Source organism: Homo sapiens, chromosome 1 (assembly GCF_000001405.40).
Source record: "Homo sapiens chromosome 1, GRCh38.p14 Primary Assembly".
Taxonomy (NCBI): Eukaryota; Metazoa; Chordata; class Mammalia; order Primates; family Hominidae; genus Homo; species Homo sapiens.
In genome coordinates, this window is record NC_000001.11 from 147153191 (window position 1) to 147172563 (window position 19373).

Genomic DNA, 19373 nt, shown 5'->3' on the forward strand with positions numbered 1-19373 from the left:
GGTATTCTAACTCTAGATTGATCACTCTACCAGATGACCAACAGAACACAGCTGTGCTAATTGGGAGAGACAAAGAAACACCATCTTCAGGTTGGCACAAATGTTTCCAAACATCTATAATATTCTCAGCCTATCCTCTAACCCCCAGAAATATTTTCCAAGATCCTGTTGCATCCAACACCCATTCCACTACCCAATCGCTATATCTAACTTGTAAGTGATCCACAACTATTGTAATCAATAACAGAGATTTCCCCCCCACCCCTCAAAAAAAATAAGTTAGAGTTGTAGGTTATAGTTTAGAGTATCAGCTGGTCTGAAGTCAGAGTCCACCCCTCAACACCATCCAGGTATACAGGTCTGTAGTAATCTCCATAACTCTTTCAGGTGTTCGATATCCTTACCTGATATTCTCATCATAAGCTGTCACTAGCAAGAGGGCTTTGGAAGATGTAGTAAGTGGAAATTAGCTCAGGAGTCGTTGAGAAGTCTGTGAAACCCTACTTTGTGTTTAAAATATCGCCCGGCATACAGACCTTAAACCTTCTAACTTCTGACACAGAACTCTGCCTTTCTACTTAGGAAGTTCTTGAGAGACAGGAGCCTCCTTCAGAACACAGCTAAGTGCTGAGAGAATGCTAACTGCCAGGAGAGAACAGAGTGGTTCATCTTCAGTCAATGTACGTGCCCTGGAGCCAAGAAATGGGTTACAGAAAGGGACGTGGTACTCCAGACCTGCATATGTGATTCTGGATGAACAGTGACCACAGAGGACAGAGGAGTAGGGAGAGGAAGAGACTCATGATGTACCCAAATCACCTGTGTCATGGTTAATTGTCAAGGCAGGGGAGAAGGGGGTCTTTGGAAGAGATACTACAAAAGACTCCAAGCCAAACGAGCCAGAAATAAATGCTTTAGAAAGCACATCAGTGCAAGTTTGGGCCCCGATGAAATTCTGGTGCCATTTTGTTTTCAGTGACTGGGGTACATGATGTTTAGAAGACCATTCTTCCAGAGGCTGAGTTCATACCATATCCCACTTTTTACCTCTAGCCTGGAGGCAATCTCTGGACTTGCTATTGAGGTTTGAGGTGAACTGTTCTAGTTGATTTCTGTCACAGGTCTTCCTTTCATGTCCTGCTGTCTTGCATTTCCACTCCCTCAGTAACTCCCCTATTCTTCTCACACTCCACATTGTCAGTCCCTTTTCTTCCTTAGTTCAACTCAGTTGACTCTTTAGAGCAGCAAAAATACAACAGCTTGGTTGTTTTAGGAAAAAAAGTCCAGAGGCCAGCTATGTAGAAACCTTGTGAAATGACGGAATGGAAAACAGAAATTATATTTTAATCATGTCCCTGAACAAGGCCATCTCAGGTGAATGATCTGCTGTCAGAATAAAGTATATAATGTTTTCATATATACTGAAGCATATAATCTGACAGAGAAAGAGAAGTAGGAAGGGTCCAGGATAGCAGTCCTCAATCCTAGATGTCTATTAGCATTATCTGGGGGAACTTAAAAAATACAGATGCCTGGACCCCATACCAGAGATTTCCATTTAACTAGGGTGGAAATGGATTGACCACCAATGTTTATAGAGTCTCCATAGGTGTTATGAATGTGCAGCCAGGGATGAGAATCATTGGTCTAAGAGCTCAGCTAATCCAGTACAGGATGATAGCTAAATGTGCAGCCAGCAGAGAAAATGCTGAAAATCAAATCATGAAGTCTGCATTCCTATAATGTTGGCATAGCCTGAAACAAAAAGAAGAGAAAAAGTAGGACATCATTTGTGTCCCCTACCCCATGACTTCTTTCAAATGTGTTTTCTTGCAGTTTACATTCTTTAGGCCCTGAGACACCAAGGCAAACAGACCTTGATAATATAATCAGTCATCAATCAATAACTCAGATATTATTGCTGTATAATACTTTTATTAAAGTTTTATGGAAAAAACCCACAACATTTCTGTATGTATCATATCATATAATTTCCAGGTGTGTCAGAGTCCAGTGACAAATTACGTTTGAAGAACAGCTTTAAAATCCACTCTTGTCTGCCACTCCTTTATGAAATATTGAAAAGCAGCTCTGTACCTCAGCATTAAAGGTTACAAAAAGCACCATTAAAAAGAGGACTCACATATTTAATTCCCTTCAAAGTAGTCTTATCTCTCCTTTCTGACAGACACAGAGCTGCACTCATTCGAAATGCTGCCGTGTAATACCAACCAACATGCTCCAATGTACCAAAATTCAAACAAGTCTCATTTATGAGACCCGTGTAGTGATTAGGACTAACCAACAACAGTGAGCTTTGGCTGTCCTAAAACCACAAGCTGGGTTAGGTAAGTGTTTTGTACAGGGGAACAGAAAAGAAGTAAGATCATCAATACCTAATATATGACTTAATGTAGGTATCCCTTGACCATTTAACCTGACACCTACAAAATCCATAGTGTTTAGTATTTCACACCAATCTTACTGCAAAAGTGCTGTGCTACATACAATCAATTCAAGTTAACTCCAACTAATATTGGAACTAATAAAAAATTAATTTGTAACAAAGCTTATTCACTTCAAAGCACAACTGAGAAAAGCAAATCCAGACAAAGCCCAAACTAGAATCCTAGAGCGATTCCATTGCTAAGAATTGGACTCTACAAGTAATAGACTTGAGTTTTTCTCTTTTTTCCCTTCTTTCTTATAATTTAAATTTGGCTTTTTACTCTAAAAGTTTGGGTTCATTGCAGAAATCACAGTCCTTCCATATCCAATTGTGATTGGCACTTAAGGAGAGACAAATGCTTAGATCCAAAGAGTTTTGAAAGACCCTAATGGCTACCCCTCCCAGGTCCTGCATTCCATGGGTAACTGGAGTCAGCAGCCCCTGGTAGAAGACAGCAAGAACTGGGCTTTAAGGGGAATCACAATAATGCAGGAATACACTGTACATCTGCTATTAAGCCCATGCCCCAAATCACTAGAACGTGAGAATGTAGAAATCTCTGAGAACACAATGTATTTCAAACACACACAGAGACTATTGCATATCATTTTTAGTTGAGGTCAAAATTATTAAAGCCCTATTTCCCCAATTAAAAGCAAGGAGTTCTATTAGTATGTCTTCTTCATTTATATCCCAGATTAATATAAACCCAGTCTAGAGGTATCACTTCTTTCCAAACTTAACTTCATTTCAGCAGCATACATGGAATATTGACACTTTTCAAAGTTTTTATCCCAGACCCATTAGATCTACAAGATACTAGAAAGAATTAGAGCAAAGTGAGTGGGCCTGGGTTTGTAGGATCCTCACAAACTTCTCTTGGATTCTTCTTTTACAAAGTTTCTCTACCATACAAACATACGTTTTAAAAGCCAACACTATTGAGGTTAGGTATGCCCTTCAGGGGTGTTGCCTAGAATGGTTAAATCCCATTCAGCTTAAAGGAGGCTAATAATCATGGTGTGGAATTTCTCCATACCAGCAGCATGGCTAACGTATGTGTTTTAGGTAATGTCTGACACTCTGGTAAAGTCTGCCTGACACATGAGCTTAAAGCAGAATGGAAAGGAAAGAGGAGAGAATTGGAACAAGATGAAAAGAGAAGATGGTTATACACTGCTAATTCTGTACAGTGAGATCCAAGGACACCACCATGTGGTGTCTGATTTAATTTCTTTTTAAAAGAGATCATTTTCAGTTGTAAGTTACTCAACCCTTTATTCTATTATTACTTCTCAGCTCAGTCACTCTTCTCTTCCCCACAATTCCGAAACTATGTTGAAGTTCTTTAAAGGTCGGCCCTCCTGAAGAACTATTTTCTTATTCTGCCTACTTTGACTCTGTAAAATTCCCAAAAGCAAAATAAAGGCTAAAAAAATTTTTTTTGCCTTTACTCATTTTCAAAATCTGTCAAACTCTCCTCAGCATTAAATTAATTATCCCTTTAACTAATCAATATACAATGATAAATGAGTAGTACTTTGGGTTACTTCCTTCTCTTCCTCCCTCTCTTCCAAATAGACTGAGATAAGGCTTCTCAGAACCATGGGATGTATCAGCAGTATAGAAAAGGGACAGTGCTGAATGAGTCAGCACCCAGTGCCTCCTACCCATTCCCTTCTATACCAGCTGGTAGGCTCCCATTTCACATCTGGGCTGAGAGTTACCTCAGAACTTGGGAAACTGACACTCTCTGCACATTTCCAGAGAGAAAGATCTGAAGATCACTAGCATCAAAACCTACTGTCACAGGGGGCTGACGCATTTCACAAAAGCCTCAGGCCTGAAAGAAATCGAAGAGATCTCTTTTCCTGCCCCACTCTACTGAAACACCTGTGTGGAGTAAAAATTTTCATACATGAACACATACATATTACATTTCAATACTGTTGACAAGAAATATAACAAACTTCATGTAATAACCAAGATTTTGAATCTTCCTAAGTGGCCCACTTATTTAATGAGTATTGGATAAAAACAAAATTCTAGTACAACTGAAGGCTGTAAATCCTGAGAGTTGGTTATAATAGGATCTGGCCTGGATTTTTAAATGGCACACCATTCAAAAAGTGGTTGGGAACATAAAAGGTTCTCCACAAAAGCCTTTTGCTGCAGAAGGTGGCCTTGGATGGCTAAAGTAGTATTTACTCTTAGCAATTAACCACCAAAGCATTTAGTTATTTGCATCCCAGCAAAACAACAATCCCACACTTTACTCCATCACACCTGGAATCCAAGAGGTCTACAAGTCCAAAGACAACTGTGTTATCAGCTTTGCATGGGAAAGACAGGAGGTAGCTAAACTGACCTGTAGGTGCCCTTTCAGTGTGGCTAGGGTCATCTGAGCAGTCAGGGAGTCTCTCATTCATCAACAGTTTAGCCTCCTTTAGTGTTGATTATTTGACTTATCTGCAAAATGGAAGAGCCCCAGCTACTTGGGAAAAAATGTTTTATCTCTGAACCCCAAAAGTGGATTGAATACTTTTCAGTCCACAAATGGAATTCAGTGACCCCACTTAATCATCAAACACCTTTAAAAAGAAGAGGCAGGAGAACAAAATGATTTTGTTAACATTTGGTGCAAAGAATGATACTTTTCATGGTTGGGAATACTAGGAATACTCTCTTGCTTCTTGGCCTAACAAATCTTTAAAATGAGGAACCCCTTTAGGTGCATCAAATGAGTTAAATGAACTTGAGCAGTTTATCTAGAGCAGTGTTTAGTGTAGTGATGTGTACAGGGTTGGCCATATTAATCTAAGAATGTGGAAGGCTAGACTAGAGAAGAAAATCTCTTTGAAGAAGCATTTATCAAAAGCCTGAAATTCTCCAATGCGGTCTCTTAAGACCAATGAAAAGGCATTTTTTAATTAAAAAAAAAATGCAGGCACATAAAAATCTTTCAAGGATGAAAGACATGAAAATACTCCCGGGTTCCACTCCTGCCTTCAGAACTGTTTACTGAGAAAGAAAAGACAGAAGCAGGGCCAGGCAAAGTGGGAAAACTTTCGGGAATTTGCCAATACAGCCTGAGCCTTGGCACCAAACTAAAACAAAAATGTAGGTGTTCTGCATTCTGCCTTTCTTATAATGCTGAAACATATTTTCTTTAGAAGTTAAAACAAACACGACAAAGTGGCCTGGGCCTGTGCTGGGCTAAAAAGGAGACCTTCTGATAGCCCTAGTGTCTGGGGTGGGTCAGGTGCCACAAAACTTTTCAAAGTCACTTACCCAATAAGTTTTGTGTTAGAGAGGGGTCAGGTATGGGATCTGAAGGAGGCTATTAAAGGAAGAATGTGAAATGAGAGGAATAAGGGTTCTTGTGGGGCATCTGGTATCATATAAACAACACAGATTGTGCCACATACTCTGGGAATATAGAGAACCCATGCAAGAAAAACTGCCCTTGCAATGAGGCAGCTGTTAAGTAGGGCAGCGGTCTAGCACAAGCCCATTCCTTGGAGAGCCAAGGTAGCAGTGATAGAATCTCCACCCAACAAGGATCCTAAGAGTTTGCTGTTCTTTCATTTTAGGAAAAATCTTCCTATATAGTTATTCCTGCAGCGCCCCCAAACAGGTCTTGGTGAAAACCCACAGGCAGAAACAATACTTCTAGCTGGGGCTAGGAGGCTTCCATTTACCTTCTTCTCATATGTATATTTTTTTTTCTTAAAATAAATTCCGTGAACTCATAAAGCTCTCATCTGCAATCAAATGCAAAAGCAGAGCATCCTACTCAGAGGCTCTGAAACACACATATCAGCCTCAAAGCAAATCAGCCTTCCAGTCTCAGGTAAGACTGGTTCAGTCCAGAAATGCAAGGGAGATGCTTCTCCTGAATCCTTAGAGGCAAGAAGGGATCCCTTCAAATGGGCTTGTATAGCAGAGTAGTAACATACTTCTTCTTGTAGCGATGGGTTGCGCTAAGGACCATCACACTGTCCTGCAAGGAAAAGAAACATACGCAGCTAATTCATTACTTCAGACAGTAGGTAGCTCTTCCCAGTCATCAGTCCTTCACAGTCACTCACTTTTAACAGAGATAGTTTGATATAAGAGCAGGAGGTCAAATAAGTTTTAGTTCCAATTCTGACTCCTATCATCATTCTACTTGTGGCCTTGGGTAATCTACTTAGTGTGTCCAAGTCTTTTTATCTCATCATTACAAAAGATAACACCTACCATTAAGGTTGCTCTGATGATTACATGAGAATATCTGACACAGTTTCTGACACATAAAAGGGCTGAAGAAATAATAGTCTCCTACCTTGCTCCCTTCCCTACTTTAAATTCTAATGTTGGGCCTAAAACTAGCAAGAAAAACAAAAAAGAACAAAATATTCTGGCATCCATTTCTAGAAGAAAGTCTTAAAGACAATGAGGAAAAAAAGAAACAATCCTTCTGAAAAACTATTTCCAAGTCCCAAAGCAGGTCTAATTTTCATTTAAAACCAGGGATGACTTCCAAAAGATCTCTCTGATTTAGAGGGAACCTAGGAATCCCTCTCTATCCTTGAACAAAGTAGATGTCAAAATCCTCTTCAGAAAGACACCCAATCCAATGGATCAATTCCAAACTGCCTAAACAATATGAGAGAATCAGGAATGGGTCAGAACCAAGCTAAGCCACAATAATCAAACACCTTCACCTGAGTCAGAACCAGTAAGAAGACAGCAAGAGGTACCATTTCCCAGGCTGTGTTGTAGACTACAGATGTACCACAGGAGGAGATGGCAAGCCTAGGCAAATTAAATGACATCCAAGGAGCAGTTACAGGAGGCAAAATCCATCAGATCCCAAAGAACCCAAGCAAATCCGATTAAGAACAAGTGTATCCTTCTACCTTCCCCCGTACTGTATTATCCACCATGAATGCTTCTCGGGTTAACACTCCAGAGTCATGCTGACACAAAGCCTAAATACGACAGAAGCAAGGCAGGTAAACAATTCACTTTTACACTTCCACAGGTTTTGTGGAAATGAGGAATACCTGAGAAAAACCTACTTGGAAAGACCTGGCATAATGATAATATAGGAAAGAATATGAAGTCAGCATAGGAGGACTGGACCTCAGCAGTCCTGTCTCTGGTACTTACTGGCAATTTGACCTTCTCTGAGCCTTAGTTTCTTTATCTATAAAACAGGAGTTAAAAATACTTACAACGTTATTATAAAAATTAAATTCAATAATATATTTTTAAGTGTTATATTGTACCACATAGTTTGTTAGCTATATCAGTGATTTCCCGAATCCAGCTATATATCCAAGTAAAAGCAGCTTAAAAAAATTATAGGGCCCATCCTAGATGCACTTATTCAGAATCTCTAGGAATGGAGCTGCTGAATCTGTATTTTTACAATCTTCTCCAGGAGACTCTAATGATAATCAGCCTGGTTTGATAACTGCAGAGCTATATAACTTTATTCCAATAGCCAAACCACAAAGACATAACAAGACAGAACAGAATGGCTATTTCCAACCCAGACTCTAAAGCAGCAGAAAAACCAAGGAGGACTCTAGAGTTGACGGGACAGGGCAAATCTGGTCACATCTCTCCTTTAACTAGTGTATAGGAGAGATGCAAGCACCTGAGTATATATGAATGAGGCACCTGAAAGTAGCTCAATTCCACCTTCAAAAAATGAAAGCCTTAATATCACATTCAAGCATTCTTTGAACTGGAAGCTAAACCTGCTTTTTCTGCAGAAGAAATCCTATGCTATGAACACAAACTTAAGTAAACAGTTAGTGTAAAGATTCTAGTCACCCAAAAAATAACTGGGCAGCAAAAAAGTCCTATCAGAGGGCAATTCAGCCAGCCAGAACACAGAGACTGAGATTTTAAAACAAACAACCTAGTAGTTAAAAAAAAGAGAGTTCTTCTATAATTTGATCATTACTGCCAGCTTCAGCTTCAATGAAATAGCAGAGAAAGTAACCACTGAGAACGTATGTTACCCTTGACCTCTCATTCCAGGGAGCTCTGTGAAGAGCCAGGGCCACCACTTACCTTAATGGACAATGCATAGAGATGGTTCAGCATAACATGGTTGGGCTCAGGGAGTAAGGCTGGGTCACACTAAGAGAAAGAGAAAAAAATTACTAAAAAAATTACTAAATGAAATTAATGCACAGACAAACCAAACAGCTTACTCTTCCTCAGAGCTCTTTGAGAAATTTAAACTAGAATGCGCTATCTCTTTTCAATAATGCACCCACTCTAGTATGTATCAATAATACAATCCTATTACAGAAAATTAGAAAAATTATCAGTCCAGGGCAGAAATCTCATGCCTCAGCATCTACTAATCTTCCTTAAGAGAGCTAAAACAAAAATCTTGCCCACAACACACAAGGAAGAGTTGTGTTACAAGGCAAAAACAATCATAGTAGGAATCAAGTAGATTGAATAGAGACATGAATTATATACAAAAAAGCTTTCATAGTTCTTTTGTACACCCCCAAATGATAACTACTCCTTTATGTTGTGCTCAAAAGAAGTCCATAGCTCTGATCCTGATTTTATTAGGATGAGGAGACAACTATGAATTTTTATATCAGTACCTGAAAAAGCTGTGACTCACCACTGGAAAAAGGAAATCTGTAATGTTATTGGTATGTGTATGACTTATAATCTCAACACACCTCTGTAGTAATCCTAACCTCTAGGATTACTGAACTTTGGTCCAAATGGTCCTAGACACCCCCAGATGCCCCAGTAATACTCAGGATACTCACAGAAATATTAGTGTCTTTGTTAAGAATAACTTGAAGTAGATGAGGAGGAAGGATGGGTGGGGATTTGAATCTTTCCTCAGATCGAAACGCATACATTTCTTGACCATAAGGCCCTGGGGGTGAGCTGGAAAGGTCTGAAAGATATTTATACAAATATGAGAAAGAGTTGGAGAATTAGCAAGAATGCATGGAAAAAGCTATCAATACATGGCAGCTAACATTAAATATGGTAGAAGTCCTGGATCACAAACTTGTGACCTGTGGGATCTACAGCTGTAAGGTAACCAGAGGAAAAATCTGAGTCCCCTGGACATAAACCATGAAGCTCCTCAACATAGCAACATGATTTGGGAGACAGACAAAGATATAAAGACTCAAAGACCCAGGCTCAGGGAAGAGCTACTACATGTATCAGCTGTAGGACCTTGGAAGAATCCCTCCACAATGGTCAGTTTCTTTATAAAATAAAAATAATCTTTGCCCTATTTCATGATGTTTTTAAGGAAATCAAATTAGATAATGGATGTAAAGATGCCTTGTAACTTTCAAACAATGGGAAAAGATTAGATTTTTTCTTTTTTCCAGCCAAACAACAAGGTTATAAACTCCTAAGACTACCAATACAACAATGATTGCAACAATAAGGACAAAATGTATGTAACTGTCATTAGGGAAATGCAAATCAAAACCACAATAAGCTACCATTTCATACTCACTAGGACAGCTAAAATCAAACAGACAGACAGTAATAAGTGTCAACAAAGGAATGGAGAAATTGGAACGCTCACACTATTCCCACTGCTAGAGGGAATGTAAAGTAGTCCAGCCACTTTGGAAAACAGTTTGGCAGTTCCTCAAATAGTTAAACATAAAGTTACCACATGACCCAGCATTATACACTGGGTATATACCCAAAAGAAATGAAAACATATGTCTACACAAAAACTTGTACACCAGTGTTCATAATAGCATTATTTATAATAGCCAAAAAGTGGAAACAATCAAGATGTCTATCAACTACTGAATGGATAAACAAACAGTATGTCCACACAATGGGCTCTTATTCAGCCATAAAAAAGAGCGAAGTACTGATACATGGTTAGAACATGGATGAACCCTGAAAACATTATGCTAAGTGAAAGACGCCAGTCACAAAAGACCACATATTGTAGGATTCCACTGATATGAAATGTCCAGAACAGGCAAATCCTTAAGACAGCAAGACTTGTGGTTGCCAGGGACGGAGGGGAGGAGGGAATGGGATGTGACTGCTAATGGGTACAGGGTTTATTCTGCGGGTGATAAAAATGCTCTGGAATTAGATAGTTGTGATAATCACATAACTCTGAATATACTAAAAATTACTGAGTTGTACAATTTAAGAGTTAATTTTATGATGTATAAATTACATCTCAAAAAAATGAAAAAAAGTATGCAGACAAGAATACAATATACAAAAATGAAGAGAAATATATTATAATATATTTTATTTAAATGTTATTGTTTCTTTTTTGAGAGAGGGTCTTGCTCTGTGTCACCGAGTCTGGAGTGCAGTGGCTTGATCACGGCTCACTACAGCCTTGACCTCCTGGGCTCAAGTGATCCTCCCACCTCAGCCTTCAGAGTAGTTGGTACTAAAGGCACATGCTACCATGCCCAGCTAATTTTTTGATTTTTTTTGTAGAGACAGGGTCTCACTATGTTGCCCAGGCTGGTCTCAAACTCCTGGACTCAAGTGATCCTCCCACTTCGGCCTCCCAAAGTGCTAGGATTACAGGTGTGAGCCACCAAATTCATTGTAAGAACTAAGTTCCAGTGTTCCGTTGCACAGTAGAGTGAATATAGGTAACAATAATGTAACAAAATAAAATAGCTAGAAGAAAGGATTTTGAATGTTATCACCACGAAGAAACGACAAATGTTTGAGATGAATATGCTAATTGCCCTGACTCGATCATTACACATATAAAATGTATTGAAACATCACATTGTATCTCATAAATATGTACAATTGTTATGTGTCAATTAAAAATAAAAAATACATATAAGGCAAAAGAAAAAAGCAGAAGTAATACTCTGATATTAAATAATATCTTTAAAACATATGGAACTTGAAACCTTACAAAGTATTATGCTTTGTTATTTCGTCACATGATCCACAAAATACCCTTGGGAAGTGCACAGAATAGTTTTTATTGCCTTTTCACCAGAAAAAAATAAATACAAATTGGTTATTTGCCTAAAGTTACATACATGGATAGACAGTAAATGAGTGCAGACTAAAATCCATTATCTGTAGATTCCTAGTAAAAAATGGATTATAAGCGTTACCTCAATAGATTGGGAAATTAGGAGAAAGGGAAATATCAAAAGTATGCAAGTCTTCTCTCTATATAATTATGATACATGTCTATTTATTGGTTACTTTGCCAGAATTATATAATGCAAAAATTAGTCACAAGTATCCTCATAATCTAATTCAGCATTTTAAAACCCTTTTAAATTACTGTCCCACCAGTCAAAAATAATGCCCAATTTAACCTTCTGAGCTTATATGATGAAAACAACATTTTCAAAAGTTTCCTCAACAGATGATTACACTATTAATAATAGTCTCGCTCTGTCGCCCAGGCTGGAGTGCAGTGGCGAGATCTCAGCTCACTGCAAGCTCCGCCTCCCGGGTTCACGTCATTCTCCTGCCTCAGCCTCCCGAGTAGCTGGGACTACAGGCGCCTGCCACCACACCCAGCTAATTTTTCGTATTTTTTAGTAGAGATGAGGTTTCACCGTGTTAGCCAGGATGGTCTTGATCTCCTGACCTCGTCATCCACCCGCCTCGGTCTCCCAAAGTGCTGGGATTACAGGCCTGAGCCAGTGTGCCCAGCCAATAATTTCTTTTAAAAACAGCAAAGCCACCCTTCTCCCCTGAAATTCAAATATGTTCCACTTAAGGTATTGTGCCTCCTCAGCTGAGAATCACTGAAAGTTTAAGTCCCTGGTTTTACTGTGAAGAAACTCAGAACGAAAAAGGTTGAGAGATTTGTTCATGATGGCAAAACTAGTTAGTAGCAGAGGCAGGCTTTGAACTCACAGGAGAGAAGTGTGCTCACTGGGAATACTGTGCACAATTCTTTAGATAGTTCTTATTGTAAAGTAACAAAATGGTAACTACAAGTGTGGTTAGCAAAATATTCTCTGATACTATAGCAATTGTAAGCAGAGATGAAGGCCTTGGCTCAAATAATATTAGAGGAAATAAAAGTGTAAAGATATTTTCCGCTACCATAGACTTTTTTTTTTTTAACCAAAAATTTACAAAATTTCAATTACCTACAACAGAATTGTCAGGGGGCAGGGGGGTGGTTGTCTTGTTTTTGAGGCAGTATCTCACTCTGCTGCCCAGGCTGGAGTGAGGAGGCTCAAACATGCTTCACAGCAGCCTCGACCTCCTGGGCTCAAGCAATCCTCACGCCTCAGCCTCCCAAATTGTTGGGACCACAGGCATGTGCCATTACGCTCGGCTAATTTTTAAAAATTTTTTGTAGAGATGGGTCTTGCCATATTGCCCAGGCTGTTGGTTTTTTAAACCATTTTTTTCCCCACATTTTTTGGACCTCATAAAATCATGAAACTGCTAACTGAGGTCTCAAACTGGCAGGATTAAGATGGGGCAAACCAAACAAACTACACACATGTATCGCCTCTGCTGGGTAATATCATCAAAGGTCAGTGGAAAACTTGAAATATTACTAGAAACAGCTTTTCAAACTATAGGCTGTAGCCCATTAGTGATTATAAAAGATAACATGGAAAATAGAGTGTATCCCATGTAATAAGGTAAACATTGTATCATGAGACTTGTGTTACAATGTGTGTGTTTGTGTTTGCTGCAAATAAGAGACCTAAATGTTTACAGGAGAAAAATCTCTGTCTCTCTCTCTCCTCCCCCCAACCCCCTGCTCTCTCTCTCCCTCTATATGTATATACACACATAAACAACTTTTAGGAAGGAACTACAAGAAAGACACAGCAAGAGAGAGTAAATAATACAAAATTACCTCTACAAGATGTCTCAGAACTTTCCATAGAATCTAACTTTAAAGCATCGAACACCTCAAAATCAGATTTCTTGACATGGATCAAATTGTTAATTGTGCCAAGCTGACTGGTAACCACAGGCTGAAACAGTGAATAGAAAAAATTATTGAATCTCTCTTTCAAATCCATCTCTTCCATCCAACCTTCCTCTTTTACTAAAATTTACACGATTGTTCTCAGCACCTCCACGTTTTATCAAGAGAGAAATCCTCCAGTGTAGGGGAGCAGCTGCCCATCAGTCTTGACAGAAATGACAGCTAAAATGAGACTGCTAAGTCAATGGTTACCCTTGGAGATCAAGGCCTTACCTCTGATGGATCATGAACCCACTGTCCATCCACAAAGAACTTGTATTGGTGCTCTCCCTCAGGGAGGTCCAGGATGGCAACAAAGTCATTATGGCTACAGAAGAAAAAAGAAAGGCAAACAGGCCAAGTTCCTTTTAGAAGACTGAATCTAAAAAACAAGTGGCAATCATAGTATCATATGAATAATTTCCCAGATTCCTAAGCCATTGTATCCCCTGGTGTAAAAAACAACGTATAAACCCATTCTCCTTTTCTGTATCATCTTGGACATGTATTTACCAGCTCCTCCCAACAACGTTAGTTCTTAACCAATATCTGGAAAAGAATAATAAAAACATTAATCCCCTCAAATGGTTCACCTTAGTATAACTTACTTTGCTTCAGTAGAACAAGTTCCTCACCAGTGCAAATAAGATAGGTAGGTTTAGGATACAGAAGTGCCTCAAGGTACTCTTTCCCTGTTTTGGTGAACCTTTTCTAGAGAATGAACTACCATACAAAGGGCCATTCTGACAACCAGTTAAATCACTCATTATTGCTTTGGAAGCAACAAATAACATGACTACCTAAAAATTCAAAATGTGTTTTGCTTTAGTGCAGAAGTCAGAGCAACAAGACTCAGACAGTTACAAAAGACTTCCCACAAGCATAGACAGGACTTGTATGACATAGTCCTAAAGAATGTAGCCATAAAGCTATTATGAATCCCTCTGAGGCAATGAAATTCTAAAGGGTAAAACATCTCTGACTCACTATGAGGTTAAAAAAAAATCCCACAGATATACTAAGTGGCCGCAGAAAAGGGCATGTTCTAGAGACAGTCCTTAGTAGGTGGAGAAAAGTCCAGCTGGGTCTCTCTTCTGAGAAAAGAAATCAGGTCTCTATTCCTGGACCCTTAGATTCAACCAAGACACTTGTCACCTCTTAATCAGTGGAATCTTGGTGCTCCAATTGTTGAAGGACCCAGAGATGAAGACCTCCTTGCCTCCTTCAGACCAGCGGATAACAGTGGGCCGGGCCTGCTGTGTGGGCTTTACGGAGTCCTCCAAATCCTGCTGCCATGATACAAACTCTTTGTCCCCAGGGAGCTGTAAGAAGGAGTAGGTCATCCCTAGAATAAACTGTGACCCAAGAATTCTAAAAAGGTCACTCTCCTCCCTAGGATAGAGAAGGGTGCTAGGCTTTGGCTAAGGATATAAACCCCAAAATTAGCAACTAAATCAGAGTTTGAACAAATTATAGAAAAAGAACTCATCTAGGACCAAAAATGGTCAAATGGCCTATGCTCAAGCACTGCCTAAATCATAGCCTAACTTTTGAGTCTACCTGTGTCACTTACCCTTCCAGAGCCTTAGACTCTCCCTTAAAAAAAAAAGAAAAAAATAACTCCCTACCACTAGTTTAACTCATAGGCAGGCAATTATGATATGCTTCTGAGTCTTTCTTCAGAGGAAAAAAAAATGAAAACAAAGTATGGTTCTGTAAAAGATAATTAAGTCAGCCATATATTTTTATAGGCAAATATGAATAGCTCTCAATTACCAGTTGTAATGGAAGTCAGAGATATCAAAATTCATAAGTAATTCATAAACTGTATTTCAGCTAAGAAGTAAAAAGAAGAAACATTAAAAATTCAAAAACTAGATCACTGATTTCTTAAAACTTGAGAAGTGGCTATGAAATCTTACTTATTCCCCTATCCCAGGCTTATACTAATTATTTCAGGAGTAGGAATAAAAATTCTAGAACCTCAAGAAGCAAGAGATCAAAAATACAATTTCCTTTATCAAAAGTAGCTCTCTTATCAAATGAGGTTTATGGGATTGTAAAAACAGTAACTCCTGTTTCTTTTCATTACTATCCTTTGGACCAAGAGTTGGCAGACAGCCAGTAAGCCAGATGCTTTTATCAAGTGTTATTTGAAAACAGCTCTGCCCATTTGTTTACCTATTATTTTACTGATTGATTGATTGAGAAAGGACCTTGCTCTGTCACCCAGGCTGGAATGCAGTGAGTGGTGTAATCATAGCTCACTGCAGCCTCGAACTCCTGGGCTCAAGCCATCTTCCCACCTCAGCTTCCAGAGAAGCTGAGACTAGAGGTGTGAACCAACATACCTGCCTTGCTTACCTATATTGTCTATAGCTGCTTACAGGCTACAGTGGCAGAATTGCGTAGCTATAACAGAGACTGTATGGTCTACAAAGTCTAAACTATTTACTATCTGGCCCTTTACAGAAAGATTGCTGACCCCTATTTTAGACTGGTTTAAGTGACTTTGGTAAATAAGACTGTATAGTATTAAGCCTAAATATTACTAAATTGAATAATGTGGGTTTTTTTTTAAAAAAAGGACTAGCTTATTCATTTGGGCTTTCTTTTCAAAATGGTTGACATAGCTTCCCTCCATACATTCTCTTGATATTCCTCAAAACTACAGTATAGCATATCAGTAGCAGGATAATCCAAAGTAAATAGAGAAAGAGAATTGAAAGGACTTTCACATAAGGAATTGACTTAAGAGAAAACTACATATTCTCAGAACAATGCACTCTTGACTAACTGGCTGCGTTAGAATTACAAGAATTTGACATATGCCTAAGAATAACCCTCAGATTCGGATGTAAGATCTGGGAACCTATTTTTAAAAAGCTTTCTAGATAACACTGTGATTATGTTAAAATAAAGGAAAAAAAGCTTCCCAGATATACCGTGATTATGTTAAAATAACAAAGAAAAAACCCTCATCTTTAGAGGTACATCCTAAAATGTTACAGATAAAATAATACTTGATATAATATCTGGGAATTTGCTTCAAAATAACTAGTGGGAGAATAGTGGACTGGGGTATAGATGTTATATGTTCATTCAAGATATGATCATTGTTCAAACTGGGTGGCATGTATATAGATGTCATTATACTGTTTCCCCCTACTTTGAAAGTGTTTCAAATTTTCCAAAAACTATTTAAAGAAATCTGAGGTGATTCTAATGTGCAAACAGGATTGAGAACCACTGAACTAGTCCACTGAAAAAGGCAGGCATTCAAAGCAAAGTAGGCCCCCCTGCCACTGTTTCTGTCAGTTACTTTTATGACAGGATTTTCAGTTTAGAATTTGAAAGCTACAAACTATTAATATGCCTAGCTTTGGAGGAAAGCCCTTCCACTTATGACATGACATTTCTGTAGTAGGAATGAATGCAACTGACTAGCAGAAAGATTGTTTACTCCAAGTTACTCAGCAAAACTACCAGGAAAAGAGGCAAAACGACAATCAGAACTACAGTTTGATGTTTAAGTAAAATGTTGAGTTTAGAAGTAAAGAGGCTACATTGAGAACTATAAAATTTTAGACTTAAATGAGACCTTAGGAATTATCTGATTTTCAGACAATCTGAAAATTATATGAATAATTTTCTTAATTCACAAATGCCAAGACTGAGGTGAGAGATAAGAATAATACAAAATAGGCCCCAATTCAGACAGAGCAACCTGGCTTTTAATCAGGACACCAATTACTGCAGTCACAGTTCGACAAATACACTGTATTTAAATCCTGAGTCATCAACATAGGAAAAGGGTAAAAATATAATGAGGCGGATCACCTTTCGAAAGCTTTGAAGAAGTAAATTCAGATGGCTTGTAGATAGCCCAAATAAGAATGGAGAATTGGAGAATAAACCCCAATAAGTGCTCCTTTTAATCACTCTCACTTCTCTGTGATTATGGTTGGTTTTTTTGTTTTTTTGTTTTTTTGTTTTGAGAGTCTGTCACCCAGGCTGGAGTGCAGTGGTTTGATCTAAACTCACTGCAACCACCGCCTCCCGGGTTCAAGCGATTCTCCTGCCTCAGCCTCCCGAGTAGCTGGGACTACAGGCATGCACCAGCATGCCCGGCTACTTTTTCTGTATTTTTAGTAGAGACGGGGTTTCACCATGTTGGTCAGGCTGGTCTCGAACACCTGACCTCAAATGATCCAACCGCCTCGGCCTCCCAAAGTGCTGGGATTACAGGCGTGAGCCTCTGCGCCAGGCTGTGATGATGTTATCAATTGAGATCCAAAGAAATAAATCATGGAATCCAAATTCCATGTGCTACCAATATGGCAAACAATACTCTATTCACTCTCTAAAGCCCCAGTTCCCTGGGAAGTGATGAAATGATAGGAAACATCAAACACACCCGAATCTCCTCAAGCCCTCCATTTTTCTATCTCATCCAGTCAGTCTACCTGGAGGAATTACTTGTATTTCATGCTGACAGCTCTGAAAGCCATTAGAAACATTAGAATGGTAATCGCTGCTATCAGCTCCATCTGTCCTTTCTTACAGAGTGAAAACAAGTTGTTCTCTTCCTGAAAGTCCTTGGAATTGAGAGCAAGGTCTTCAGGGCAGCTGTGGGTTGTCGTTTTTTTAGCCACGCAACATTTTGAAGTACTACTGAGGAGTAAACAAGTCGTGGAATCATTGGCTCTTCCACCTACGGAGCAGCAGCGGGGCGTGAAAGAGGCACAGCCTCAGCCACCACAACTATAAAGTATGGGACAAAAATTAAGCAGTCAACTAAATGATGTCCTTAATTGATCCCCAAGACTAGGAGAAAGTATTCAATAAGCAAGTAGTTGCTGCTTACAGCCGTGCCAAAAGGGAAGAGGATCACAACTGTAGAGCTGCTAGAAGAGCAAAAATGATACTGATACATAGAAATTTTCAGAAAAAGAATTTCATTTAGCCACCTCAGGGCAAAGGTGAGAAACTACCACCTATGGTCAGCAACTCGTGCAACCTACCCTCTGAAGTTGTCCACCAGGGATTACAAACTACAAATTCAGCAACGCTATGGAAGAGAGCCATTCGTGCTCGGAGGATCGGGGATGGGGGGATGTCTATTGTCCCCATCCTAAAAATGTGGCCAACAGATTAGTCAGAACACCAGGAAAGCAAGAACTCCGCCTCTTTATCCTATTTTGAGGCGGCACTTCAAGAGGAATTATCATCCAACACCTCTGTCCCCGATAAATCCCTTTAATTCAAAAAACCATAGCCCGGTTCGGCGCGGTAGAAAAGAACCAAGAAAGGGAAGAGGAGCCCAGAAATCAACCCGCTGCAGTACTGACACCAACTGCGGGCATGGGACGCTTACCTTGGAGTCAGGGAGGCTGAACACGCTGGGGTCGTCCGTACTCCCCACCATGATCTTGTGCTCCTTCCCCGGGGCATGGCCGCCTGCGCCCTCGGAGCGTGCAGCCTTGGCGCCGTGGCGCTCCCCGGACACCCGGTCGCTGGTGGTGTTTCCCATGGCTGCAGCTCGTCGGGGACCACCTACCGCGGGGAACGACACCGGGCTGGGAACACCTCAGCCGCCGCGTCAGGGGCGCCCCCCGGCCCCGCCCCTGCGCCTCGGGACAGGGCAAGGGATTCCCCGCCCCAGGGAAGCCGAGCCCTGGAGCCCTCTCCCTCCTGGCCTGCGGGAACGCCTGCAAATACCCCGGTGCCCTCACTGGCCCTAGCTCAGGAAACCCGCTATCGGGACCTCCCCCGCGTCCCCGCGCTCACTGCCAGGGGCGCCCCCACTCCAGTCACCTCGGGCGATGCGCTCCCTCCTCCAAGGGCCACTGATGTGATGGCTGTTCTGCAGATCAGGCCACCAATAAAGTTATTGAAATTGAAGCCGCACCCCTCGCTGGCGACCAGCGATTCCTCCTAAAATGGCTACAA

At 40.0% G+C, this 19373-nt stretch overlaps 1 protein-coding gene across 7 annotated transcripts, besides 2 other annotated features; it reads right to left on the reverse strand.

The window, feature by feature from the left end:
• Window positions 1-1915: 1915 nt before the first annotated feature.
• On the reverse strand, window positions 1916-19280 carry PRKAB2 (protein kinase AMP-activated non-catalytic subunit beta 2). 7 transcript variants are annotated; one of them, XM_011509729.3, is made up of 9 exons: window positions 19239-19280; window positions 18799-18977; window positions 14577-14743; window positions 13656-13749; window positions 13308-13428; window positions 9250-9383; window positions 8522-8590; window positions 7607-7643; window positions 1916-6452 (listed from the first exon to the last, which is right to left on the reverse strand). In XM_011509729.3, exons 2-9 carry the CDS (start codon window positions 18952-18954, stop codon window positions 6433-6435), a joined length of 798 nt encoding a protein of 265 aa, XP_011508031.1. In that variant the 5' UTR covers window positions 18955-18977; window positions 19239-19280; the 3' UTR covers window positions 1916-6432. The 7 variants fall into 7 exon arrangements, 5 of the variants coding, with proteins under 5 accessions (XP_011508031.1, XP_047280500.1, NP_005390.1 ...); XM_047424544.1 differs by lacking the exon at window positions 14577-14743; NM_005399.5 differs by lacking the exon at window positions 7607-7643.
• Window positions 8358-9557: an enhancer, noted in NCBI's record as "P300/CBP strongly-dependent group 1 enhancer chr1:146633127-146634326 (GRCh37/hg19 assembly coordinates)". NCBI's record gives its function as "activates an origin of replication core promoter dependent on BRD2, BRD4, P300/CBP, MED14 and CDK7 cofactors, with strong dependence on P300/CBP, by STARR-seq in HCT116 cells {active_cell/tissue: HCT116}" and the evidence as "EXISTENCE:reporter gene assay evidence [ECO:0000049][PMID:35650434]".
• Window positions 18940-19209: a silencer, noted in NCBI's record as "silent region_1277". NCBI's record gives its function as "represses an Ori minimal core promoter by ATAC-STARR-seq in GM12878 lymphoblastoid cells {active_cell/tissue: GM12878}" and the evidence as "EXISTENCE:reporter gene assay evidence [ECO:0000049][PMID:35858748]".